At 50.3% G+C, this 25,074-nt stretch overlaps 3 protein-coding genes and 1 pseudogene across 16 annotated transcripts, besides 3 other annotated features; 2 read left to right on the top strand and 2 right to left on the bottom strand.

Moving 5' to 3' along the window:
* Positions 1 to 7,504, top strand: MMP19 (matrix metallopeptidase 19). Of its 6 annotated transcripts, none has more exons than NR_073606.2 (9): positions 1 to 193; positions 499 to 584; positions 1,730 to 1,831; positions 2,055 to 2,270; positions 3,196 to 3,441; positions 4,203 to 4,437; positions 4,930 to 5,094; positions 5,255 to 5,382; positions 5,563 to 7,504. NR_073606.2 is itself a non-coding variant. In NM_002429.6 (9 exons), exons 1-9 carry the CDS (start codon positions 107 to 109, stop codon positions 5,899 to 5,901), a joined length of 1,527 nt encoding a protein of 508 aa, NP_002420.1. In that variant the 5' UTR covers positions 1 to 106; the 3' UTR covers positions 5,902 to 7,504. The 6 variants fall into 6 exon arrangements, 4 of the variants coding, with proteins under 4 accessions (NP_002420.1, NP_001401304.1, NP_001259030.1 ...); NR_182299.1 differs by having other exon boundaries at positions 1,701 to 1,831; NM_002429.6 differs by having other exon boundaries at positions 1,701 to 1,831; positions 4,203 to 4,331.
* On the bottom strand, positions 6,691 to 13,329 carry TMEM198B (transmembrane protein 198B (pseudogene); annotated as a pseudogene). 4 transcript variants are annotated; one of them, NR_036478.1, is made up of 6 exons: positions 13,112 to 13,329; positions 11,854 to 12,977; positions 11,588 to 11,680; positions 9,923 to 10,066; positions 9,396 to 9,490; positions 6,691 to 8,086 (listed from the first exon to the last, which is right to left on the bottom strand). The product of NR_036478.1 is annotated as a transmembrane protein 198B (pseudogene), transcript variant 3 (transcript). The 4 variants fall into 4 exon arrangements; NR_036476.1 differs by having other exon boundaries at positions 9,396 to 9,978; NR_036479.1 differs by lacking the exon at positions 9,923 to 10,066.
* Positions 11,883 to 12,082: an enhancer, noted in NCBI's record as "active region_6460". NCBI's record gives its function as "activates an Ori minimal core promoter by ATAC-STARR-seq in GM12878 lymphoblastoid cells {active_cell/tissue: GM12878}" and the evidence as "EXISTENCE:reporter gene assay evidence [ECO:0000049][PMID:35858748]".
* Positions 12,037 to 12,774: an enhancer, noted in NCBI's record as "NANOG-H3K27ac-H3K4me1 hESC enhancer chr12:56223947-56224684 (GRCh37/hg19 assembly coordinates)". NCBI's record gives its function as "activates a minimal SCP1, AML or CMV promoter by ChIP-STARR-seq in naive H9 embryonic stem cells {active_cell/tissue: H9 hESC(naive)}" and the evidence as "EXISTENCE:reporter gene assay evidence [ECO:0000049][PMID:30033119]".
* On the top strand, positions 12,162 to 21,952 carry DNAJC14 (DnaJ heat shock protein family (Hsp40) member C14). 5 transcript variants are annotated; one of them, NM_001394689.1, is made up of 7 exons: positions 12,162 to 12,241; positions 14,223 to 15,685; positions 19,429 to 19,535; positions 19,748 to 19,867; positions 20,205 to 20,365; positions 20,462 to 20,564; positions 20,750 to 21,952. In NM_001394689.1, exons 2-7 carry the CDS (start codon positions 14,279 to 14,281, stop codon positions 20,958 to 20,960), a joined length of 2,109 nt encoding a protein of 702 aa, NP_001381618.1. In that variant the 5' UTR covers positions 12,162 to 12,241; positions 14,223 to 14,278; the 3' UTR covers positions 20,961 to 21,952. The 5 variants fall into 5 exon arrangements, with proteins under 5 accessions (NP_001381618.1, NP_001381617.1, NP_115740.5 ...); NM_001394688.1 differs by lacking the exon at positions 12,162 to 12,241 and adding an exon at positions 12,410 to 12,761; NM_032364.6 differs by lacking the exon at positions 12,162 to 12,241 and adding an exon at positions 13,350 to 13,448.
* Positions 13,303 to 13,412: a silencer, noted in NCBI's record as "silent region_4538". NCBI's record gives its function as "represses an Ori minimal core promoter by ATAC-STARR-seq in GM12878 lymphoblastoid cells {active_cell/tissue: GM12878}" and the evidence as "EXISTENCE:reporter gene assay evidence [ECO:0000049][PMID:35858748]".
* ORMDL2 (ORMDL sphingolipid biosynthesis regulator 2) lies at positions 21,058 to 24,896 on the bottom strand. The gene is made up of 4 exons (NM_014182.5): positions 24,825 to 24,896; positions 23,764 to 23,938; positions 23,444 to 23,595; positions 21,058 to 22,677 (listed from the first exon to the last, which is right to left on the bottom strand). The coding sequence occupies exons 2-4, from the start codon at positions 23,935 to 23,937 to the stop codon at positions 22,542 to 22,544; spliced, it is 462 nt and encodes a 153-aa protein (NP_054901.1). The 5' UTR covers position 23,938; positions 24,825 to 24,896; the 3' UTR covers positions 21,058 to 22,541.
* Positions 24,897 to 25,074: the final 178 nt, after the last annotated feature.

Below are 25,074 nucleotides of genomic sequence, written 5' to 3'. Positions count from 1 at the left end.
AGAACTGGGGGTAAGAGCCCCTCTGCCTAGCACTGCTCCCCCAAGGCTCCCAGAAATCTCAGGTCAGAGGCACGGACAGCCTCTGGAGCTCTCGTCTGGTGGGACCATGAACTGCCAGCAGCTGTGGCTGGGCTTCCTACTCCCCATGACAGTCTCAGGCCGGGTCCTGGGGCTTGCAGAGGTGGCGCCTGTGGTAAGTCCCCCAAGAAAGAGACCTGGGCCAGCGGAGGGACAGGGGTTACTGCTCCACAGCCCCATCGAAGCCTCCCTCCTGACCTTCAGCCTGCCTGCCTTTCCCTTGCTCTCTCTGCCCCATGGTCTACCCTGCCCATCTCCCGCTGCTTCCCCTTGTTCCACCTGAGCCCCTTCTCTAAGGTGCTTCTCCATTAGTGCTTCCATATCAGGTCCCTCCTCTCCTGATGGATCTGTTAGGTCACTTAGAAGCTTTACTCTGAGACTAACCCCCTTTTAACCTGCTTACCTCCACTCCCATCATAGGACTACCTGTCACAATATGGGTACCTACAGAAGCCTCTAGAAGGATCTAATAACTTCAAGCCAGAAGATATCACCGAGGCTCTGAGGTGAGAAGCTATGAGGTGTATGCCTTTAGGGCTAAGGTCTCAAGGTCTTCTTCCTTCTCATCCCTTCCTCTCCCCAGGCCCACCTCCTCCTGACCCTAAACCATGCCAGGGATTTAGAGATGGGTGGCGATCATTATTATGGTGGTGGGGCATGGGGTGAGATGGGGATTCACAGATGAGGAATACAGGCATTGGATCTTCCTAGGCCATAAGCATTCCTTTGGAGTCTCTACCCACATCATATCTCAAATACTAATATTTAGTTATAGTCCACATAAAGTGTAATGATATGTAAAACTGAGTTGAGTTGTTGACATGCTATTACCTTTTGTGGGCCTTCAATTTGGTACTTATTTATTTCTATTTTATAGTTTTATATGTTGATGTAATGGATTATTTTTCTTTCTGCTCTCAGATATGTTCAGGTCCCTTGAAAAGCCCCTAGGCCCTATGACAGTCCATAGATGGATGAAATTGCTCCAGGGCAAGCTGGGCTGGGACGGGTATCCATTCAGGAAGGGAGAAGGCTGAAGGAGGACAGGCTGTCAGGTGGGAGCACTAGTGGAAAGCTCTCCAGAGCAGGGGAGCCAGACACCTCCACAGAGTAGGAGAAGGTTAGAAATTGCAGTAGAGGGGCTGGGCATGGTGGCTCACGCCTGTAATCCCAGCACTTTGGGAGATCCAGGCAGGGGGATTGCTTGAGCCCAGAAGTTTGACAGCAACCTGGGCAACATAATGAGACCCCATCTCTACCAAAAAAGAAAGAAAGGAAGAAAGAAAGAGAGAAGAAAAAGAAAGGAAGGAAGGAAGGAAGGAAGGAAGGAAGGAAGGAAGGAAGGAAGATTGCAGTAGAGGAGGAAGGCTACACCTGAGGGCAAACTTACTCAAATAAAAGACACTGAAAATGGGGAGATGAAGCTGGAGTATCTCCATTTCTGCAGAACAGAAGAGAAAGTCCCAGTTATGAGGACTGGAGGCTGGAGTAACCCTGTCAGCTTCAGGGATTCTGTGCTATTCTTGGCCATGAACTTGGGCAGCAGGAAGTCAAAGAGCAATCATCTCCCAGTCATTTCAGATTTTCCTGTCCTGGTAGACCCATCCCTCTCCCTCCTTCAGAGCTTTTCAGGAAGCATCTGAACTTCCAGTCTCAGGTCAGCTGGATGATGCCACAAGGGCCCGCATGAGGCAGCCTCGTTGTGGCCTAGAGGATCCCTTCAACCAGAAGACCCTTAAATACCTGTTGCTGGGTGAGAACAGAGCCTGGAAAAGAGAGGGAGAGGAGGGGGTGATGTGGTTCTGGCGTGTGGGTGGCATTAGGACAGTCTGGACCAGCTCAGTGTTGAATAGATAATCACCTGGTGATTACCTGGTTGTCACCTGTCTTGGGGGTTGAGTGCCTAAACCCAGAGGAGCTCTCTGGGGTTGGCAGAAGGATCTGTATTTCTAATCTGTTTTCTGGTCATTAACTAGGCCGCTGGAGAAAGAAGCACCTGACTTTCCGCATCTTGAACCTGCCCTCCACCCTTCCACCCCACACAGCCCGGGCAGCCCTGCGTCAAGCCTTCCAGGACTGGAGCAATGTGGCTCCCTTGACCTTCCAAGAGGTGCAGGCTGGTGCGGCTGACATCCGCCTCTCCTTCCATGGCCGCCAAAGCTCGTACTGTTCCAATACTTTTGATGGGCCTGGTAGGCAACAGTTCTCAGTTCCCACCTCATAGACCTCTGAGATTACCTCTGTCTCCTTGAACCAGTGACTCTAGAACCTTGATGTTTGGGCTGCTCTTTATCCCACCTGCACCATACGCTCTCTAATTACCTCCTAACGGGAGCACGGGCGCAGTTGGTCATCTACATGGAGCCTCCTGTTTGAAACTTCCTCCCTCCCTCCCTTCCTTCTCTCCTTCTCTCTCCTTCCCTCCCTCCCTTCCTTCTCTCCCTCCCTCCCTTCCTTCTCTCCTTCTCTCTCTCCCTCCCTCCCTCCCTTCCTTCCTTCTCTCCCTCCCTCCCTCCCTCCCTTCTTTCCTTCCTCTCTCTTGCTTGCTTGACAGTCTCACTCTGTTGCCCAGACTGGAGTACAGTGACACAATCATGGCTCACTGCAGCCTCAACCTCCCAGGCTCAAGTGATCCTCCCGCCTCAGCCTCCCAGGTAGAGACTACAGGCAAACACTACCACACCTGGCTAATTTTTGTAGAGATGAAGTTTTGCTATGTTGCCCAGGCTGGTCTTAAACTCCTGTACTCAAGCAATCCTCCTGCCTTGGCCTCTGAAAGTGTTGGGATTACAGGTGTGAGCCATCACCCCTGGCTGCCTATGCTTCTTTTTCTCCCTTAAGTTCCCCTGTTCAAGGCATACCTTAGAGGTATGGGCCAGAGAGGACTGGGTCAGAGAGCAGGGAGTGGCTGGGAAGGTAAGGGACAGTGATGGGCATTCCTGAGAGAACTGGGTGATGACAGGGGAATCTGAAAGGGGAGAAAGAAGCATCCAAGAGACAGTGAACATAGCTGGGGGAATTTTAAAGGTATGCATTAATTAGAGTTTATAATAGGCAGGGTGTGCTCTAGCCTAGCGGGCTCTGACCTCCTTCCTGTTCACCTTTGCCTTTGTCCAGGGAGAGTCCTGGCCCATGCCGACATCCCAGAGCTGGGCAGTGTGCACTTCGACGAAGACGAGTTCTGGACTGAGGGGACCTACCGTGGGGTGAACCTGCGCATCATTGCAGCCCATGAAGTGGGCCATGCTCTGGGGCTTGGGCACTCCCGATATTCCCAGGCCCTCATGGCCCCAGTCTACGAGGGCTACCGGCCCCACTTTAAGCTGCACCCAGATGATGTGGCAGGGATCCAGGCTCTCTATGGTCAGTCCCTCCCCCTAGTGAGGGGGAGGGTCAGTCTGACTCCCACGTCAAGGCTTGAAGAGACAGGTCTAGCCTCCATGTAGGGATATAGCTTAGTGTCTTTCTTCTCCTCCAGCCCAGTTACTCAGGCTTCTTCATTTTCAGGAGCAGTTTTTCTCAGACTCTTCTATGTCTAATCTTCCTTCCAGGCCTCTCTCCTTACACCCATGCTTGGGGATGGAGAATGCACCTTCTTTTTTTTTTTTTTTTTTTTTGAGATAGAGCCTCACTCTGTCACCCAGGCTGGAGTGCAATGGCATGATCTTGGCTCACTGCAACCTCCGCCTCCCGGGTTCAAGCCATTCTCCTGCCTCAGCCTCCCAAGTAGCTGGGATTACAGGCACACGCAACCACGCCCAGCTAATTGTTTTTGTATTTTAGTAGAGATGGGGTTTCACCATGTTGCCCAGGCTGGTCTTAAATTCCTGAGCTCAGGCAATCCACCCGCCTCAGCCTCCCAAAGTCCTAGGATTATAGGCGTGAGCCACCACACCCGGCAAGAATGCACATTTTAACAATCCTCCTTCTCCCTTTCTGGTGTCTCTCAAACCTAGAACGTGTCTCCCGCTGATATCAACATAATATTGCCTACCACAAATGAAAACGCTCTAGGATTCCCTTTTCCCCTCTGTATGGGGACTCTGAGCAAAACTTACAGGAGACTGGTGTGGAGGACAGGTGCTGTGAGTTCTCTCCCTAAGCAGCATTACTTTACCTTATAGGCAAGAAGAGTCCAGTGATAAGGGATGAGGAAGAAGAAGAGACAGAGCTGCCCACTGTGCCCCCAGTGCCCACAGAACCCAGTCCCATGCCAGACCCTTGCAGTAGTGAACTGGATGCCATGATGCTGGGTGAGGCCCCTCCCCTCCAGGCTGTTGGCAGGCGGTGGGGGCAGCCTGCTGATCCTGAGGCCTGGACAAATGGGAGTGACATGGGACTTCAGCATGAGCAATGGAGGTTAGACCCCAGGCATTAATGACCATGGAAGGAGACATGTGACATGGGGAGGGAGAGTTCGGAGCCAAATTAAAGGTGGCTTAGGCAGGCACTTACCAAGGCTGCCACGCTCTAAGGGCCACTAGAACACATCTGGAAATGCAGCAAGATGGAGAAAACTATATTACCCAGATTGCCTGTTAGAGAGGGTGCACCTGGTTGGAAGGACAACTAGGAAGCCACTTGGAGGGGAGGGTGAGGTTCCTAAGGAGGAATAGCTATCTGCAGGGCTTTTGTTTTGTTGAGTGGACCAAAGCTGAAACGCTCTGAGCAACAAAGCATTCTGAGTCCTCTTTGTCTGCCTTTAATTTTCTCTTTGAATTAAAGTTGAATGAATTTTTGAAGAATCAGCCTGCAGGGAGAGGGCAAATTGTTAGTCAGCCTGAGATACCCCCAAGTTTCTGTCTACTTGACCTCTGTCTTTTTGACTTGTTGACACACCATTACGCTCAGGGCCCCGTGGGAAGACCTATGCTTTCAAGGGGGACTATGTGTGGACTGTATCAGATTCAGGACCGGGCCCCTTGTTCCGAGTGTCTGCCCTTTGGGAGGGGCTCCCCGGAAACCTGGATGCTGCTGTCTACTCGCCTCGAACACAATGGATTCACTTCTTTAAGGGTAAGGAGGCTAGTTACAGTGTCTTACTTGAGGAGGGCCTAATCTTAAAGAAACTATAAAAGGGAGGGAGATGAGAAGTTTCTGAATAGGTGGACCGGAGGAGACCAAAAGCTATCACCTGAGGACAGAGGTGACTTGTTCTTTCCTCACATGCTCTCAGGAGACAAGGTGTGGCGCTACATTAATTTCAAGATGTCTCCTGGCTTCCCCAAGAAGCTGAATAGGGTAGAACCTAACCTGGATGCAGCTCTCTATTGGCCTCTCAACCAAAAGGTGTTCCTCTTTAAGGTATAAAGTTCAAAGCAAGGGCAAATCCCTTCTTAGGAGGAGTGGGCTACCTTATACTGAGAAGCAAAGCTTGCGCTTGAAGGGAGATGTTCTGCAGCTGCAGTGGGCTGGGGGTGGACCCCTGGGGGTCCTAAGCTCTCTCCTCTTCCTCTCCCCTCTCCCCACCCATCCCATATCCAGGGCTCCGGGTACTGGCAGTGGGACGAGCTAGCCCGAACTGACTTCAGCAGCTACCCCAAACCAATCAAGGGTTTGTTTACGGGAGTGCCAAACCAGCCCTCGGCTGCTATGAGTTGGCAAGATGGCCGAGTCTACTTCTTCAAGGGCAAAGTCTACTGGCGCCTCAACCAGCAGCTTCGAGTAGAGAAAGGCTATCCCAGAAATATTTCCCACAACTGGATGCACTGTCGTCCCCGGACTATAGACACTACCCCATCAGGTGGGAATACCACTCCCTCAGGTACGGGCATAACCTTGGATACCACTCTCTCAGCCACAGAAACCACGTTTGAATACTGACTGCTCACCCACAGACACAATCTTGGACATTAACCCCTGAGGCTCCACCACCCACCCTTTCATTTCCCCCCCAGAAGCCTAAGGCCTAATAGCTGAATGAAATACCTGTCTGCTCAGTAGAACCTTGCAGGTGCTGTAGCAGGCGCAAGACCGTAGATCTCAGGCCTCTAACACTTCCAACTCCAGCCACCACTTTCCTGTGCATTTTCACTCCTGAGAAGTGCTCCCCTAACTCAGATCCCCTAACTTAGATTTGGCCCCCAACTCCATTTCCTGTCTGTCTTAGACAGCCCTTCCAACTGTGTCATCTCTTCTCTGGAGGTCAATGGTGGAGGGAGATGCCTGGGTCCTGTTCTTCCTACATAAAATGCAAGAAAACAGCATGGCCAGTAAACTGAGCAAGGGCCTTGGAATCCTTGAGAATCACATTTATGTGCTTATGATTACGGGCAAGCTAATTAACCTTGTTGAATCTCAGATTCCCCATTTGCAACATTAGGTTAAGACCAGTACTGCAGGATTGTTGCACTAAATGAAATACTGTATGTGAAGTGCCTGGCACAGTGTCTGGTACATTTGTGTTTAATAAAAGCTAACTCCATGTTCATAAGAGAGGACTGAACAGCTCTTCCTCTAGCTGTCTGGCTGTATAACTCTTACAGTAGTCTGTATAATAAGGGCATCTCTATTAGATCTTTAGGGGACAGAGGATTTGTCAAGATGGTTAGCTCTTTGTTTTGGGGTGCAGAGAAAGAAAAGAGCAGCAACAGCAGAGGCTGGACTCCCTGGTTCAGTATTTAATGCCATTTTATTCACATGCTCCCATGTTCTCCCTCCCTCCCATTGTAGCCTTGCTGCCCAGGGGAGGGATATGTCTTCCTTTATGCATCTGGGAAACCAGGAACAGACCCTGCGCAGGAGAGTCAGAGGGGGAAGAGTTAGAATGGGTCAGTGGCTGGAACAAAGTTCTGGTTAAGGAGGAAATTAGTGCCACCCACGGTGAGAAGCAGAGAAGGCACTTGCATCCTATGCAGCCCTGAAGACCAGGCTCCTTTGGGCAAAAGGCAAGACTCTGGCAGGTGGGTCAATGCTCTCTCCTTGGAGCAAGAAGCCAGCTTTTGGGGAAGGCAGGTCCTGAGGCAGGCACTGCCCTGTGGTCTTCCCCAGGTTGAGGAGAGAAGTGGAAGCCCCATGGAAGACAGTGCTCCCAGCTGAGGTAGGAGGCGGAGGTGGGGGTGGGGGTAGTTTAAGCCTATGGGGCCCAGGGGGAAAGGCCAAACAGAAACCCAACTACCCCCTAATGAAGGGCCTGGAGGTTGGGGTATCTTGGAGCTCCTCAGAGCCCTTCTTCCCATCAAAAAGGTATCAAATGCCTTGGAAGCTCCCTGATCCTACAAAACAAAAAAATGCTTATTTTTACCACTGTGAGGCAAGCTGAGGTGAACATTTAAAAGGCTATTTCAAGACGAGGTGCGGTGGCTATAATCCTAGCACTTTGGGAGGCTGAAGCAGGAGGATCACTTGAGCCCAGGAGTTCAAGACCAGCTTGGGCAACATAGGGAGACCCTGTCTCTGCAAAAAAATAAAAACGAATACATAAAAATTAGCTGTGTGTGGCGTCTGTGGTCCCAGCCACTCAGGAGGCTGAATGAGAGGCTCGCTTGGGCCGGGGAAATCAAAGTTGTCATGAGCTGTGGTCACGCCACGGCACTGGACAGAACAAGACCTTGTCTGAAAACAAACAAACAAACAAAAGCTATATGGGTAAGGCTTGGAGGGAATTCGGGAGTCAATTTCTTTGGGGACCAGGGCACCTCTATTATTGGTCAGAGGTAAATATTCATACTTCCCTTCCTCCCCCTTCCCCATAAGACTCTTCTCTGTTCTTGGAACATATCCCTACAAAGCTGGTCTGGGTTGAGGCACAGATCCTGTCCCCAAGTCCAAGAGGTGGGGAAGTTTGTGTGCAGGTCCTGTGGGCTCAAACCCTGCCCACCTAGTGTTCCCAGGCCCTCACAGGGGTAAGGGAAAAAGTGGAAGTCTAGGCTCAGGTCTGGTTAGAACCAGAGATTAAGGTGAGGGGTACAGTGGAACCACAGTCAGAATCCAGGTCCAGGACGGTGTGGGGGGCTGTGGTCTGGGGTCCTGGTCCCAGTTGGCACTCTTGAAGACTCTGGAAGTAACTCTGGAGGGACACAGGGCAGAGAGGGAGTAAGGAGGGGCCTGGGTCAGAGCCCCCCTCCCACCCTGACCATCCCCATATGTCCTCTGCTCCATCTGCCCAGGGTGTCCCCAAGTCCCCCACTCACTGGAGCGAGACTGTCAGCAGGGCTGCAGGTATTGGCAGGGAGCTGATGCCGACAGCTGCCCTCACAAAGCCCCACCCCAGAGGGGATCCAGTGCCATTTGGCCTTTTGCTGAAGGGTCTGAAGGAGTTGGAGATGGCTTTGCTGGTGGCTTAAGACCACTGCTGGCCGGGCGCGGTGGCTCACACTTGTAATCCCAGCACTTTGGGAGGCTGAGGTGGGTGGATCACTTGAGGTTGGGAGTTCAAGACCAGCCTGGCTAACATGGTGAAACCCCATCTCTACTAAAGATACAAAAACTAGCCGGGCATGGTGATGCATATCTGTAATCCCAGCTACTCGGGAAGCTGAGGCATGAGAATCACTTGAATCCAGGAGGCGGAGGTTACAGTGAGCCAAGATCATGCCACTGTACTCCAGCATGGGTGACAGAGTGAGACTCCATCTCAAAAAAAAAAAAAAAAAAAAAGACCACTGCTTCGGAGGGGGCAATACAGACTCAAGAAGGCCTCTTTAGGCCCTGAATCCTACCCTATACACACTCACATTCTAAAGAAACCCATTTGACCTTCCTGTTGTTTCTCTCAAGCCTCATCTTCCCCCCCCATTTATTCCTCTTTTTTTTTTTTTGAGATGGAGTCTCGCTCTGTCGCCCAGACTGGAGTGCAGTGGCGCGATCTTGGCTCACTGCAAGCTCCACCTCCCGGGTTCAAGCCATTCTCCTGCCTCAGCCTCCCCAGTAGCTGGGACTACAGGCGCCTGCCAACAGGCCCAGCTAGTTTTTTTTTTTTTTTGTATTTTTAGTAGAGATAGGGTTTCACCGTGTTAGTCAGAATGGTCTCGATCTCCTGATCTCGTGATCCGCCCGCCTTGGCCTCCCAAAGTGCTGGGATTATAGGCGTGAGCCACCGTGCCCAGCACCCCCCCGACAATTCATTCTAAAAGAAATTCTTCGAAATTCTATTTTTCCTCCTAGACTTCCCTGAGATCCTCCTTTCCTTCTGTAACTCTTTCCTGCTTCCCCTGACTCCTTCAACTTTTTTTTTCAGTGCCCTGCCCCATTCACCTTGGACATCCTCCCCCACTCTCCTTCCTCAAGTGTATTTCTCCCCTTCCCTCCTTAAGTCTAGGAACTGGGGACATGAGTAGGCACAGGTTGGCTGCTTCTGTACCACAGCACTAACTCACCATTAGCGTGGCCTCCATGTTCCTCAGGCACGAGCTTCCACTGGGCCAGGGCTCCAAGGGCCCCCAAGGCTGGCCAGATCCCCAGTAAGACCCAGCTATATCAGCAGAGAGAAGGCAAGGCTGGAAGTGTCTGCAGGCGTTGGCCCAGCCAACTCCCCAGTGCCAGCCCCTCCAGGAAGTAGTCAACACAGGCCACAAGCACTGCAGAACCCAGCAGGGTTGTGCCCAGAACTGTGAATGGACGTGGCCACCGAAGTGTGAGCAGGGCTCCCAGCAGCGCCAGCCCCACCAGCCCCCCAGCTGGCACCCAGGCTGAAGGTGGTTGGTAGATAGGCTCAGAAGCCAGCAGGGCTCCGGCACCCAAGGTCAGGCCTAGCAGGAGACCCGTCAATAAGAGCCCAACACAGTGAACCAACATGGTGACCACGCCGCAGAGGAGTCATGATGACCACGGCGATGCCCACTCTCATTTCCAGGCTCAGCTGTGTCTCCAGCACCCGCACCTTGTGGCACAGTAGGAAGCTCACCAGCGCTCCTGACAGCTGACCGGAGAGAAACGTCACTGTCTTGAAGCAGCAGTAGCCTGGGAAGTGAGGCAGGAGGAATTGAGAGGCAGGAAGGGGGCTCTACAGGGATGACTCTGATGAATTCCAAGGGAGAGGAATGGCTCACTAGAGGAGCAGAAGACAGGAGCAGCACGTCAAGGGACCTCAAGGCCAGGGGCAGAAAGGGGTCGCTTAGGGTCGGGGGGGGGCACTGTTTCAGGAACTGTGAGGGAATGGGAGGGAAAATCAAGAGGTAAGATGGATACATTGAGGGGAGTAAGGATAGAAAGAAGGTCTAGTCCTTTTAGGGATAGCAGATAGGAAAAAATCAGCACAAGCTGATTCAGGTTTTTGGAGAAGAGTGAAGAAGTCTGAAATATAGTGAATAATTTAGGAATGGGGTTTTCAGGTAGGAGTTAAGAGAAGAGCAAATGATAGATGCCAGAGGTGAAAGCTGGAAGGCATGGGCATGGAGGATGGACAAGAAGCTGGCAAGAGCAACATGGGCCTAGGAATACAGCCAGAGCAACATGGGCCACACTAGAGGTAGGAACCCCTGGCAGAGGAGGTGAGATGGCCCAGGAGCAAGGAGGAAAGCTGGCATCATCCTTGAGGATGACAGTCTTGGGCAATGGCCCCCCAGGTCCTTGGCCCTGCCCTCACTGAAGCAGCAGTAGATGATTCCAAAGCAGCAGCAAAGGGCACACACCAGGGCAAGTGCCAGTTCAGGATTGTCCTGGGGTTCCAAAACACATCTTGGGTCTGGAGGCTCTGGGAGTTGTTGATTAAAGGGCCTGGGGTCAGATGTCACAGCCAGGGGCAGCAAGACTTCCTCCATGGCCAAAGAGAAAGTGGTCACAGAGCGGGAGGTGTCAGCTCCTCTCACCCATCCATGAATGTCTTTAGGGGATTGGGAAACCTGCAGCGGGGCACGGGGCAGAAACTCAGGTGCCCATAAATCTTGAGGACTCTGTACCTCTATTTCTTTTAAATAATGGTGCCCATTTCAGGAGCCAGTATGACCCTGTTGAGGTAACTGAAGAAATCTACAGGATTGGATTGAGAGGAGCAGGATCTGTCTTTACCACTCTCTGAAACAAGTACACTTAAGTAAAATGTAAAATGAAATCTTATAAAGTAATGAAAATCTTATAAAGTAATGAGCCTTTGCCTCCCCCCACCACCCTGCAGCTCTTCAGGGTGAGGGTGGAAAGAACAGGAAGCCCTGGGTGTGTGGAGGGAGGGGTGCTGGGACATTATTGCCCCATCTGCGACTGGGACTTAATACTACCCCACTGGATTGGGAAGGGTGAGGTTAATAGAGAGGGGAGAGGGAGGGAGAACAGGAGAGTATGAGTCATGGTGGGGGTCTCTGGACAGCTGCTCCAGGCCCAGGGCAGAAAGAGGGAAAAAACCAGACACCAAGAGTTTGGGAGGAGGAATTAAGTAGAGACAGTCACCCACAGTTTGTCAGGGTTTTAAAGCCTCAGCTTCATGCTGAGATGGAGTTGTTGGAGGAAGAGGCATCCAGCCACAGTCCTAATCCCACAGCCCCTCATGGAATAAGCAGGGACTTTGCCCACAGACATCTCACATCCTGGTAGCCACTCGCACCTCCCCTTAGGATATTGGTGGGACTTTTCCTACCTCACCCTTCCCCCAGCGGTATCAGGGCTGCCAATGGGATTTGAATTCAAATCCTGAAAGGAGAACACCAAGGAGGAGCTGGCATTTCGGGCACTGTGGGAATGAAGTGGCAAAAATGCAGGCACATTACTTTCTTCAGCTGTCCTTTGGATATCAAGGTCCTTACAGGCTGGAGGGTTGACTCTCGGAGCTCCTCTCCTCAATCTGCTTGGAAGTCTGGGGACCCTGGACAAGCGGGGGTTGGGGAGGGGATGTTAACTACTCACCATCCTGCCAGGATTGAGGAGAGGAGGGGGTGGAAGTGCTTCCCTAGACCTCCAGATGCATCCCTGCTCGGAGGTCCTAGACGCCGGGGGTGCGGCTGTCGGTCAAGAGCACCCCCAGGGTCACTCTGTTGCTGCCTAAACTCTTTCAAGTCGCAGCCCAGGCTCTGTGAGCTAAATGCAACTAGCTTGCAGGGTGGAGAAAGGGGACAGGGCGTGTGTGTTGGGGTGTGTGTTTGTGTTTGTGTGTGTGCGCGCGCGCGTGCGCGCGGTGGGGGGAGGAGGGGTGACATCACAAGGCAGGCCCCTCCAATTCTTTCCCGTGTGTGTGGGGGGACCCAGGTTGCCTACTGCTCTAGTCCAGGACCAGAGACCCCCAACTATATAGCAGGTAAGAGTCTTGAGGGTCACCCCAAGAGTTTTGGAGAAGGGTCTCCGAATACTTAGGAGATGACAACCGGAAGCTCTCAAAGCCCCAATAGGGGTCCCAGCGCCCCCCTAGCTTCAGCTTGGTTTCTTCCACTTTCCAGAGAATTGGAGTATTGTCTCCTGGAGAACCGGGTGGTCGGGATCGTGGACCAGGGAAGGGGCTTTTGCTGGTCGGGGAGCGCCAACTGGGGGTTCATGGGTGGAAAAACTTTCGGATCAAGACGGGGTATAAGGCTAGAGGCGTGTGCAGAGGAGGGGACCGACGGAACGGGGACCCAACTGGGTCTACGTGGGGGCGGGGGCGCTTGTGGACGTCCACCAAATAGCTTGGTATGCAGATGAGATGTCAAGCAGCAGGTAGATGAGTTCAGTGTTCTTTGGCTCACGGGCAAAGTTCTGAGCCGAGCCAAGTTACGCTCCCAGTTCCTAGGCACCGCTCGGTGATCGGGCCTGGGGAGCTGCGACCCGAGGGGCGGATCCAGGTATAAGGGGCAGCTCGCCAGCTGGGTCAAGCGCGGGGGAGGCCGTGGGTTGCTGTGAAAGGAGGGGCAGTGCTGCGGGGCGAGGGAGGGGGCCAGCCGGGGCACCCTCTCCTCTGCTCCACCTCCGCACCGCAGGATACAAAGGGGCCTGTGTCCTCGCAGCTGCCGGCACGGAAGGGATCAGGGCAGTGACTCTTCTGAGCTCCCTGGTTTTGTCTGCAAGGGAAAAAGACTATATGTGGCTCGGTGGCTGCCCTCCATCTCCCAGGAATACAAAGCCTAGGAATACACCCAGAGCAATCCTGAGAGTCTGCCCTTAGTCTGCAGGCATTGGTGCAGAGTCCACCTGCCTTGCTTCCTGCGGTGCAACCTGCGGGAATCCCATTCCCACACGCGGAGGGAGGGGCCTTTAAATGGCGGGGCCAGTACTTCCTTAGGACCGCCTCCTTGGAGTCGACGCAGCCCTAGCTGGATTGGCTTGCCTCTCAGCCAACCGCTATTTCTTTTCCTTCCCGTCTCTTCCCTGGTGACCCCGGAAGTGGAAGTAGGCCCAGGTCGCCGGCGGCCGCGGGGACGGAAGGCGGAAGCAGAGCGTGAGCGGGAGGCGGAGCCGGGAGAGCGGCTCTCGTAGCTCACCCTGGCCCCAGGCCGGGCGGCTCGAGGGGGAGGAGTTACCGCCGTTCTTCGGTACGTCCGTCTTTTTTTTTTTTTTCGTTTTTTTTTGTTTTTTTGAGATGGAGTCTCGCTCTGTCACCCAGACTGGAGTACAGTGGCACGATCTCGGTTCACTGCAACCTCCACCTCCCGGGTTCAAGCGATTCTTCTGCCTCAGCCTCCCGAGTAGCTGGGACTACAGGTGCGCGCCACCACGCCTGGCGAATTTCTGTATTTTTAGTAGAGACGGAGTTTCACCATGTTGGCCAGGCTGGTCTCGAACTCCTGACCTCGTGATCCGCCGGCCTCGGCCTCCCAAAGTGCTGGGATTACAGGCGTGAGCCACGGTGCCCGGCCACCTTCGTCCCTTCTACACAGCCGGTGGGTTCCCTGTTAGTCTTTCTTAGGGGCAGCCCTAAGCTCCGCCCCCAGATTTTCCTCCAGGGCCGCATGGCCCCCACCCATTACTGGAAGTCTGTGGCCCCCTTTCCGGCGGTCTTTCCCATTTTCCTAAGAGTGACCCACCCTCCCCCGACCACACCCTTTACGGTACCTCCCTGTTTCCCTGATTGAAGGTTATAGTTTTCTGGGGAAAGAAGAAAAACTTAAGTGATTTGGAGGAGAGGGGAGGGAGCAAGCAGGGTTGTGGTGAGTCTAGTTTTGGCTTATTGCTAGGAATAGCGAATGCCCCAAAAGAACTTGGGAAAACAAGGGAGGTGGATGAATTAAATGTGTCCACTATTTGAGATTGTTTAATTCCTCTCTTGGTCTCATCCTTGACTGTCTCCACCTTGATATCTGTTACAGGCATCAGAACACACCATGATGGCTGTGACCTAAGACCCTCAGGAAGCCCCGGGGTCATGGCCCAGAAGCACCCCGGAGAAAGAGGGTTGTATGGAGCCCACCACAGTGGTGGTGCCTCCCTCAGGACTTTAGGACCCTCCGTGGACCCTGAAATACCTTCATTCTCAGGACTCAGGGACTCAGCAGGGACTGCTCCTAATGGTACCCGCTGCCTCACAGAGCACTCTGGTCCTAAGCACACACAGCACCCAAACCCAGCCCATTGGTTGGACCCAAGCCATGGCCCCCCAGGGGGTCCAGGACCACCTAGAGATGCAGAGGACCCTGATCAGAGTGAGACGTCTTCAGAAGAAGAATCAGGAGTGGACCAGGAACTCTCAAAAGAAAACGAGACTGGGAACCAGAAGGATGGGAACTCTTTTCTTTCCATTCCATCTGCTTGCAACTGCCAGGGAACACCTGGAATTCCAGAAGGGCCTTACTCTGAGGGAGGAAATGGTTCTTCTAGCAACTTTTGCCACCACTGTACCTCTCCAGCTTTGGGGGAAGATGAGTTGGAAGAGGAATATGATGATGAAGAATCTCTCAAGTTCCCCAGTGATTTTTCACGTGTGTCCAGCGGAAAGAAACCCCCATCCCGGAGACAGCGGCACCGCTTTCCAACGAAGGAGGATACTCGGGAGGGTGGACGTAGGGATCCCAGGTCCCCTGGTCGACATCGGCTGGGTCGGAAACGAAGTCAGGCAGATAAGCGCAAAGGCCTGGGATTGTGGGGAGCCGAGGAACTATGTCAACTTGGACAGGCAGGCTTTTGGTGGCTGATTGAACTGCTGGTATTGGTGGGAGAGTACGTAGAAACTTGTGGCCATCTCATCTATGCCTGCAGGCAACTGAAAAGCAGTGATTTGGACCTTTTTCGAGTTTGGATGGGAGTGTGGACAGGGCGGTTAGGGGGCTGGGCCCAGGTCATGTTTCAGTTTCTAAGCCAGGGGTTTTACTGTGGAGTAGGACTGTTTACTCGTTTTCTTAAGCTGCTGGGTGCTTTGCTGCTCCTGGCTCTGGCCCTCTTTTTGGGCTTTCTACAGTTGGGATGGCGGTTTCTGGTGGGACTAGGTGACCGGTTAGGCTGGAGGGATAAGGCTACCTGGCTCTTCTCTTGGCTGGATTCTCCAGCCTTGCAGCGTTGCTTGACTCTGCTGAGAGATAGCAGGCCATGGCAGCGGCTGGTAAGAATAGTTCAGTGGGGCTGGCTGGAGTTGCCTTGGGTCAAGCAGAATATTAATAGGCAGGGGAATGCACCTGTAGCTAGTGGGCGCTACTGCCAGCCTGAAGAGGAAGTGGCTCGACTCTTGACCATGGCTGGGGTTCCTGAGGATGAGCTAAACCCTTTCCATGTACTGGGGGTTGAGGCCACAGCATCAGATGTTGAACTGAAGAAGGCCTATAGACAGCTGGCAGTGATGGTGAGTACCCTTCTGTTTCCTGTTTCTCTCTTTTGTTCCCATATTTTTTTTTTTTTTTTTTGAGATGTAGTCTCGCTCTGTCACCCAGGCTGGAGTGCAGTGGCACAATCTCAGCTCACTACAACCTCCGCCTCCTGGGTTCAAGCGATTCTCCTGCCTCAGCCTCCTGAGTAGCTGGGATTACAGGTGCGCGCCACCATGCCCGGCTAATTTTTTTTGTATTTTTAGTAGAGATGGGGTTTCACCATGTTGGTCATGCTGGTCTCGAACTCCTGACTTCATGATTCACCCACCTCAGCCTCCCAAAGTGCTGTGATTACAGGTGTGAGCCACTGGTCCCAGCCTGTTCCTATATTTTCTATTCCAGTTTTAGGGAGAGTGGAATAAAGGGAAGGCAGAGTAGAAAGTTAACGGGTAGGTGAAGGTTAACGTTCTTCTTTTTTTTTTTTTCTTGAGACGGAGTCACGCTCTATCGCCCAGGCTGGAGTGCAGTGGCGTGATCTTGGCTCACGCAAACTCCGCCTCCCGGGTTCACGCCATTCTCCTGCCTCAGCCTCCCGAGTAGCTGGGACTACAGGCGCCTGCCACTGTGCCTGGCTAATTTTTGTATTTTTAGTAGAAACGGGGTTTCACCGTGTTAGCCAGGATGGTCTCGATCTCCTGACCTCATGATCCGCTCGCCTCAGTCTCCCAAAGTGCTGGGATTACAGGCAGGAGCCACTGTGCCCAGCTGGTTAACATAGTCTTAGGAAAGAGTCATAAAGACTTTTTGGGCCAGGTGCAGTGGCTCACACCTGTGATCCCAGCACTTTGGGAGGCCAGGCTTGGTGGCACATGCCTGTAGTCCCAGCTACTCGGGAGGCTGAGGTGGGAGGATCAGTTGAGCCCAGGAGGTCGAGGCTGCAACAAGCTGCGATCATGAACCTACAGTCTGGGCAACCAAGCCACACCATCTCAAAAAAAAAAAAAAAAAAAAAAAAGATATTTTCCCCTCCACTATGGGATCTGATCTTCCCTCCATTTTGTTTGTCACGAGATATATTCTTTGAACCTGGTATATTGGGCAGTGTAGAACTCACTCACCTGGAAAATCTAGGTGAAGTCCCTCTAACTGGAGTGGGAAAAAGACCTATTCAGAGAGCACCTCAGTTGCTCTTACCTGAACAAATGAGGGTTTTCTTTTTTTTTTAAACATGGGGTAACCCAACTATTTCTCCCAGAGAAGCAAATATGGACCTAGTATGGGAGGGTCAGGGAGTGCATGTAAGGATTTTAGCACCAGGTAGGAGAAAACAGGCTGTTTCAAGATCAGCAACTCAGAATAGGAGAGGGCAAGAAAATGGAGGTGTATGCATATGTATGTCATACATGAAAATATGGTTGCTTTTATTGATAAGAGGGTGTGCAGGGCCAGGCGCGGTGGCTTACGCCTGTAATCCCAGCACTTTGGGAGGGTGAGGTGGGCAGATCACAAGGTCAGGAGATCGAGACCATCCTGGCTAACATGGTGAAACCCTGTCTCTACTAAAAATACAAAAAAATTAGCCGGGTGTGGTGGCGGGCGCCTGTAGTCCCAGCTACTCGGGAGGCTGAGGCAGGAGAATGGTGTAAACCTGGGAGGCAGAGCTTGCAGTGAGCCGAGATCGCGCCACTGTACTCCAGCCTGGGCGACAGAACAAGACACCGTCTCAAAAAAAAAAAAAAAAAAAGAGGGTGTGCAGATGGGAGTTGTCATGCACCTTATGCTTGAGGGAAATGGTTTAATACAAGCATGCAATCAAATTGCATTAGAAGTAGATATTAGGTTGATATTAGATAACAGATTGTTACTGCTATTTCTGTACAAATAAAACTATTATGAATATAAGTAAGGTGTGTAAATTGGAGGCCTACTTACACTGGAGTGTATGGAGCTGGACTGGTAAAACATCACAGTGTGCAAATTACCTCAATGGCTGCATGACACCAAAGAGGAATGGGCAACTAAAGTTTCCATTAATGATTAAAGGTACAGTAAACCACCACACCTGTAACTTACCAAAGGACTGAATTAATTTGGTGGGAAATGTATGCCCCTTAGTAGGTAGCTTGGTATATTCTTTTTTTTTTTTTTTTTTTTTTGAGACAGGGTCTCACTCCAGTTCCCCAGGCTGGAGTACAGTGGCAGGATCTCAGCTCACTGCAGCCTTGATCCCCCAGGCTTAGGTGGCTTCCACCTCAGCTTCCTGAGTAGCTGGAACTACAGGCGTGCATCACCACACCTGGCTAATTTTTTGTATTTTTAGTAGAAATGGGGTTTTGTTATGTTGGCTAGCCTGATCTCGAACTCCTGGACTCAAGCAATTTGCCTGCCTCGGCCTCCCAGAGTGCTGGGATTACAGGCGTGAGCCACTGCGCTTGGCTTCTGCTGTATTCTTAGAGTGGGTAACAATTGTTTACTCTCATTGTTACTAATTCTACTAGTAGTAGAGCTCTTTTCTCACTTTCTTTTAGTAGACATCCTGTTTTGGAGAATATTATTCTTAACAAAAATTCTCATTTTTCAATTTCTCTTGAAGTAGAGATGTAGTTAAGTTCCCCTAACCTCAAAACATCTATCCCTATACCCCAAAGATCTCTCTCTGTCCTGGACCAGAGTGTCTCTGGGCTTTTATTGAACCTCTCACTGCCTTACTAAGCCCTAGTGTGAACATGACTAAAAGGCTGTTCAATTAGCTTGGGAATGTGGGAAATTTGACAGCATTTTAGTTATTTGGCATCAGTCAGGAGACTAGCTTTATCTCTGCATTTTTGGGGAATGGGGATGGGTACAATCAGGAAGCTGTAGGAAGAGAGGATATTACTTGTCTTGGAGAGAAGGCTGAAAAGTACATAAAGTCTCTGAGACCATGATATGCTATTTCATTTCTGGGACTGAAAGGCATATCACTGTAGGAAGTTTTGGATATGAGAATTTTCTAGTTAAAAAAGAGTTTCAAGATGTAACATCTTTGGAACTCTTATTTTATGACTGATACATGTGTGTGCCAGAGACCAACTGTCCCTGTTCATCTGGGATTGAGGAGTTTCTAGAGGCATGGGACTTTTTAGTGCTAAAACTGGGACAGTCTCAGGCAAACTGGAATGATGAATCCACCGTAGTACCTGATTCTTTGCTACATACTTCATATATATTCTTATTTAATCCTCCCAACAATCCATGATAGATATTCAGGCTGACATGATAGATAATCCCAACAATCCATGATAGATATTCATGATGGCACACGCCTGTAATCCCAGCACTTTGGGAGGCTGAGGTAGGCAGATCTCTTGAGGTCAGGAGTTCGAGACCAGACTGGCCAACTAGATGAAACCCCGTCTCCACTAAAAATACAAAATTAGCTGAGTGTGGTGGTGCATGCCTGTAATCCCACCTACTAGAGAGGCTGAGGCAGGAGAATTGCTAGAACCTGGGAGGTGGAGGTTACAGTGAGCTGAGATCGTGCCACTGCACTCTAGCCTGGGTGACAGAGCGAGACTTCATCTCAAAAAAAAAAAAAAAAAAAAAGATATTCAAGGTAATGTAGCTAATTATAACAGAGCCATGAATTGAACCAGATCTGCAGAGTCAGAGCAGTTAATCATTAAGCTACACTGACTCTTCAAAAGGGTGATGAAAGAGAACCCTTTGATATGAGAATAAATTCAAGGTGAGGAGAGGGTTGGAATGGATTTGTAATGAAATCTCTCTGTCTTGGTAGGTTCATCCTGACAAAAATCATCATCCCCGGGCTGAGGAGGCCTTCAAGGTTTTGCGAGCAGCTTGGGACATTGTCAGCAATGCTGAAAAGCGAAAGGAGTATGAGATGTAAGTTGGAGATGGGAAATCATCAGATAATGGTAAATGAAAAATCCTCAATAGCAGAGGCATCTGGACTTGGGGGTGGAGGCTTGTTGAGATGGAGAGAACTGAAGTCACTTGTCTTTCTCGCTAGACAGGGGCCTCAAGAGGCCAACTGATATGTCTTCCTTTGTCCCTCCCTCAATACCTTCTGACTTACAAAGCATTTCTTCTATTAGGAAACGAATGGCAGAGAATGAGCTGAGCCGGTCAGTAAATGAGTTTCTGTCCAAGCTGCAAGATGACCTCAAGGAGGCAATGAATACTATGATGTGTAGCCGATGCCAAGGAAAGCATAGGTATGAAATAGAAGGAGAGGGATGGGACAATCACAGCTCAGGGATTATGTAACCAAGGATCTTTCTAGTGAGTACTGGTAATTATGAGTTACATCTGTATCTCATAATTAGTAAAAAGACCCTTAAGTTTCTACCTTTGTCATATTGTCAATAGACTGACGATTTTAATTAGCACTAAGAAACATTAGCTTTAGGATAGAACGTTGAAGGGATATGAAATACTAAGTGGGGTAATTTTAGATGTTTCAGCCCTATTTGTGAATAATGGTAAGACTACTAGCAGTGCCCTAGGTAGGCTTGACAAATTATTAAGGAACTATCCTTTTGTTGGTTGCAGGAGGTTTGAAATGGACCGGGAACCTAAGAGTGCCAGATACTGTGCTGAGTGTAATAGGCTGCATCCTGCTGAGGAAGGAGACTTTTGGGCAGAGTCAAGCATGTTGGGCCTCAAGATCACCTACTTTGCACTGATGGATGGAAAGGTGTATGACATCACAGGTACTCTCTGTCCTCTAGAAATACAGGCTCATACTTCCTGATCTTTTATGTGCTCTAAACTGCGACGTTTTGGCTAATTATTTCTCATGTTTATAGAGTGGGCTGGATGCCAGCGTGTAGGTATCTCCCCAGATACCCACAGAGTCCCCTATCACATCTCATTTGGTTCTCGGATTCCAGGCACCAGAGGGCGGCAGAGGTAGGTGGTATTTCTGTCAATAATCTATCCACTATTTCAGTTTTGAATACGGTTTCAGATGACCTGCTTTTTAGGACACCCAGGGGCCTTGTTTTCTAGGAAGTTTGGGAACTGATAAGTATATCTAACTTAGGTAACCATATGACTCTAACATCTCTTGCCTTATTTCTTCTGTTTTACCTCAGAGCCACCCCAGATGCCCCTCCTGCTGATCTTCAGGATTTCTTGAGTCGGATCTTTCAAGTACCCCCAGGGCAGATGCCCAATGGGAACTTCTTTGCAGCTCCTCAGCCTGCCCCTGGAGCCGCTGCAGCCTCTAAGCCCAACAGCACAGTACCCAAGGGAGAAGCCAAACCTAAGCGGCGGAAGAAAGTGAGGAGGCCCTTCCAACGTTGATGCCCCTTCTCTTTCCTCAAATCAATGTCAGGGAGTCAAAAGGGCTGTAGCACAGGATGGAGTTTGATTTATCCCTCCTCCCCCAACACCTAGGAACTGAATCTTTTTCTTTTTATTTTTTGAGATGGAGTCTTGCTCTGTTGCCCAGCTGGAGTGCAGTGGTGTGATCTCAGCTTACTGCAACCTCTGTCTCCCGGGTTCAAGCAATTCTCCCATCTCAGCCTCCTGAGTAGCTGGGATTACAGGCACACACCACCACACCTGGCCCAGCTAATTCTTTTTTGTATTTTTAGTAGAGACGGGGTTTCACCATGTTGCCCAGGCTGGTCTCGAACTCCTGAGCTCAGGTGATCCACCCGTCTTGGCCTCCCAAAGTGCTGGATTACAGGCATAAGCCACTGTGCCCGGCCTGAATCTTGTCTTTTGACAATACCAAAGAAATAGGGGGTAGCTAGAGTAAAGAACCTAGGGCCTGGACCTGGGCTGGACAGTGTATCCCTTTAGGTGTGGGAACTGGGTATTTCCCTGGGGTCTGTATGCCTTTGTCTTGTCATTTGCTTTTAGGGCAGATGACACTTTTTCCCACCCTTTTAAAGCTACAAGTCTATCTTCTTTCTTGACCCATTTCAGGAGGGAGCCCTCTCCTTTATCCTGATATAATATTTAAAAGAGAACAAGAAAGCATGTAGCCCTAATGATAGGAGATTATCGCATAGAGTTCAGAGACTGGAAACTGAATTTTCCCTCGACTTTCACTTTGTGGGTAAATCACCCAATTTTAGGCTCTTTTCTGCAAGGATGGCCAAAATTAATCATTTTTAAAAAGTAGATTCATGCCCACTGCCCTTGGGTGAGGGGGAAGAATACGGGGGTTCCCAGAAGCCCCCATGTGATCCAAGGGTTTGTATTTTTTTTTTAAGTTTGTTCATATTTGTATGTACATGACTATTTAAAGCCAGGGGATTATCTTTCTATAAATGTATAACTGGCAACCTGTATCTTCCCTCTTTGTTGCCCATATAGCCGGAGCCCTTTTTCTCATTTGAGAATCTCTTCCCTACTAAGTGTTAAGCTTAGAGTGAAGGGCACCTCCTACTGGACCAAAGGAGAGGGGATTGGAGAATTGTTTTAAGTTTTATACATTAGGTCAGTATTCCATCTTCCCACCCCCAGCCTTATGAGGACAGCTCTCTACCCATCCTGATTAAACTGCAGCTATAGCTGAAAAAAATTATTGTAAGAAAAATACACAGCAAAACAGAGCTGGAAGGTGGTAAGTGTAAAAGATATGGAAAGATGTAATCACCAAAGAAGCTGCCCAAATGGCTTCCTGCTATGGAGGAGAGTGATTTGGCCCTTACCTCACCTGCCTTCCTGATTCAAAGAAACTTGCCACTAGCAGGACTGGGCCCAGGAGCCCCATTTGCCAATCTCTTCTCTTCTTGGGAGTCTGGGAAAGGTTGTATAGTTCTCAGGCTTTAAAGGTGTAGAAGACAGTATGGAGAATAAGAGAAGGATGTTTTATAGTCCTCTGTTTCAGTGCCTTCCCCATGCCCATGGAGCTGTCCCAAAACCCATCCCTCAGTATTTGTTGATGCCAAAGACACGAACCCCATGGAACTGGGGCAACTTCGGCAGCAGTACACTTAGCAATGAGGCTGTGTTGATGAGGAAGTGCGCAGCATCATACTTGGTATAGAAGCTGGCCAGGAGATAGCTGGGGAGAGAAAAAAATAGGGTGAGTGAGGTTGACCTTCTCTATCCATATTCTTTTTTTTTTTTAAGAGACAGTTCTCACCATGTTTCCCAGGTTGGAGTGCAGTGGCTATTCATAAGTGTGATACGTGCAGTACAACCTCAAACTCCTGGGCTCAAACAATCCTTCTGCCATAGCCTCCCAAGTAGCTGGGACTCCAGGCATGCACCACAGTGCCCTGCTCTTTCTCTTCTATTTTAAATGACCAGTTTTACTGTATATAGTTCTAGATTATCTAAAACTATTCCAGCTATATCAACAGCATTTACTTTGGGGTTCAGGAGATAGCACCCTTAACTGGAGACTGTAAGTCAGTATCTGTTAATTGTTAATGACATGGCAAATGACGGCTCAAGCTATTTCAGTCTGTATGACTGTTACAGTCCTCTTTGCTTCCACTCCCTACAGTGTTTTTGAAGATTAATATCAGTTCTGCCTTTATTTACTTCTTTTGGCAGTGTAAAATCATTTGGTTTTATTTGGCACTTATCTTTTCTCAGTCCCTTCATTTCCTTACTACCAAGGAGGCAGCAAGGAATGCTTGATTACAGTATTGACTGTAATCTACATTTTACTGCTCTCTGTAGGCTTAGAACTAGTATACCATAATATCTTCAAAGGGTTTTAGATGAGAAGTCTGCTTTTTAACAGCTTCCCTATGGGCCTTTCTACCTGGCTCTTGGAGCTCTTTCTAACCCAGCATATCTCATTTCCCCCATAGACTCACAGCACAATAGGAGAGATGCTGAGGAACTTGCGGGAAGAGGTAAACTGGAGCCCATAGTCCATTTGCTCCCAGTGTGTCAGTAGCCGAGCCTTTCCTTGGTCAGGAGTCTCAAAGGGTGTCCCTTTCACCGTATGAAGGAAGACATACGTAGCCTGGGAACAGGGAAGGTGGCAGTGTGAGGGGCAGAAAGTAGTTTTTCAGTCAAAGAATTATGTTAAGATCCCAAAAGGAACACATAAATCCCCAAACAATTGGTGATTTTATTTTGCTTTTGGTTGGGAAACCCTGGGGTGGGTACAAGGGCGTGGTTTAGTGCTCACCAGGTTATGGATGACGTTGGTCAGGGTCCAGACAACAGGAATGCTGAAGAAGGGGATGCTGAGTAGAACCATATGCAGCAATCCTACCAAGATGATGTAGGCCAGCCAGATGCCTCGGCTATTCATCACTCGGGTGTTGGGGTTTACTTCGCTGTGTGCCACCCCCACATTCATCCTAGCCGTAATGGGGGATCAGGCAGGAGTCCAGCTCAGTTTTTTCTCAACCCCTCTTGAGCTATCTCCCAGTTGTCTCTCAGATAGCCCCAATCCCCTGAACTCTATTGGGAATGAAGAACTTACCCATCACGCAGAAAATAAAAACTGAAGACTTGGGGAAAACTTTAAAAGACAAGAAGAGTCCTCACTACATTTCAGAGACATAGTCATTATTGCTCTGATCTTTACACGTCAACTGTAACATGAAGGTGTATGTGTAGGCTTGGGGCACTCACTTCAGGGAGCAAGGGAAATAGGAGTATCTGACTTTGCTGAAGAAGTTAATAACCATGAAGAGGTCACGTACACCCAGAATTCCAGGCGAAAGTCATGGAATCATCAAAGAACCACTAAGAAGGGATGACAGAGTAAAGCTCACTCTGGTCCCCACTTTGTTCTCTGGGGCTTGTCCACCCTCTCTCTCACCTCCGTGGCATGTAAACAGTCTGCATCCCCATTACTTCTCTCAAGCGTGGGGCACGACAACAACTTGCCCACGGCTTCTGGACTGGGTTAGGAAGGGACCTGAGCTCAATACCTCGAAAGGTGGAGCCTTGGCTCTGACTCCAGGGGCAGCAGTGATTATCTGAACTCGGATCTTTAAAATTGTGGTAGCTCTAAAGCTGATGATGTCTGGTTAGGAAGCGGCTCTTGCCCGCCCCAGCCCCACCGCCAGTTCCTTAAGCCCGCCCCATGCCCCTCCCAGCTTCCTCCTCATGTTCATCGGTTTTTTCAGGGCTCCCTTCAGCGCTCCCCTCTCAGTATTTAGGTCACCACTCCCTCGGCGCCCCTTTCGCCTCCCACCATTTTTCCTCAGCAACCCTTACAGTCTTTGCAGCTCCTACCTGCCAGCTCAGATCCCCGTCCGGCTATGGGCGCGGCGCCGGCTACCACACCTGAAGTCTCCAGGAAGTAACGCCTCTCCTTCTGCCCCTTTCCTATTGGAGGAACAGAATCAGCGCTGCCACCACCCATTGGTTGGTGGTCTGTAATGCAGAAGCACAGTTGGTTGCCATTTCTGTCGTTCGCAAGATACAGTGCCCGCCCCTCTCCCAGTTCCACCTTTTGAAAGAGGTGGGGCAAGCTGCCTAGAGA

Source organism: Homo sapiens, chromosome 12 (genome assembly GCF_000001405.40).
Source record: "Homo sapiens chromosome 12, GRCh38.p14 Primary Assembly".
Lineage (NCBI taxonomy): Eukaryota > Metazoa > Chordata > Mammalia > Primates > Hominidae > Homo > Homo sapiens.
The sequence above is the reverse complement of the archived record's forward strand: the minus strand, read 5'-3'. Positions and strand labels throughout refer to the sequence as shown.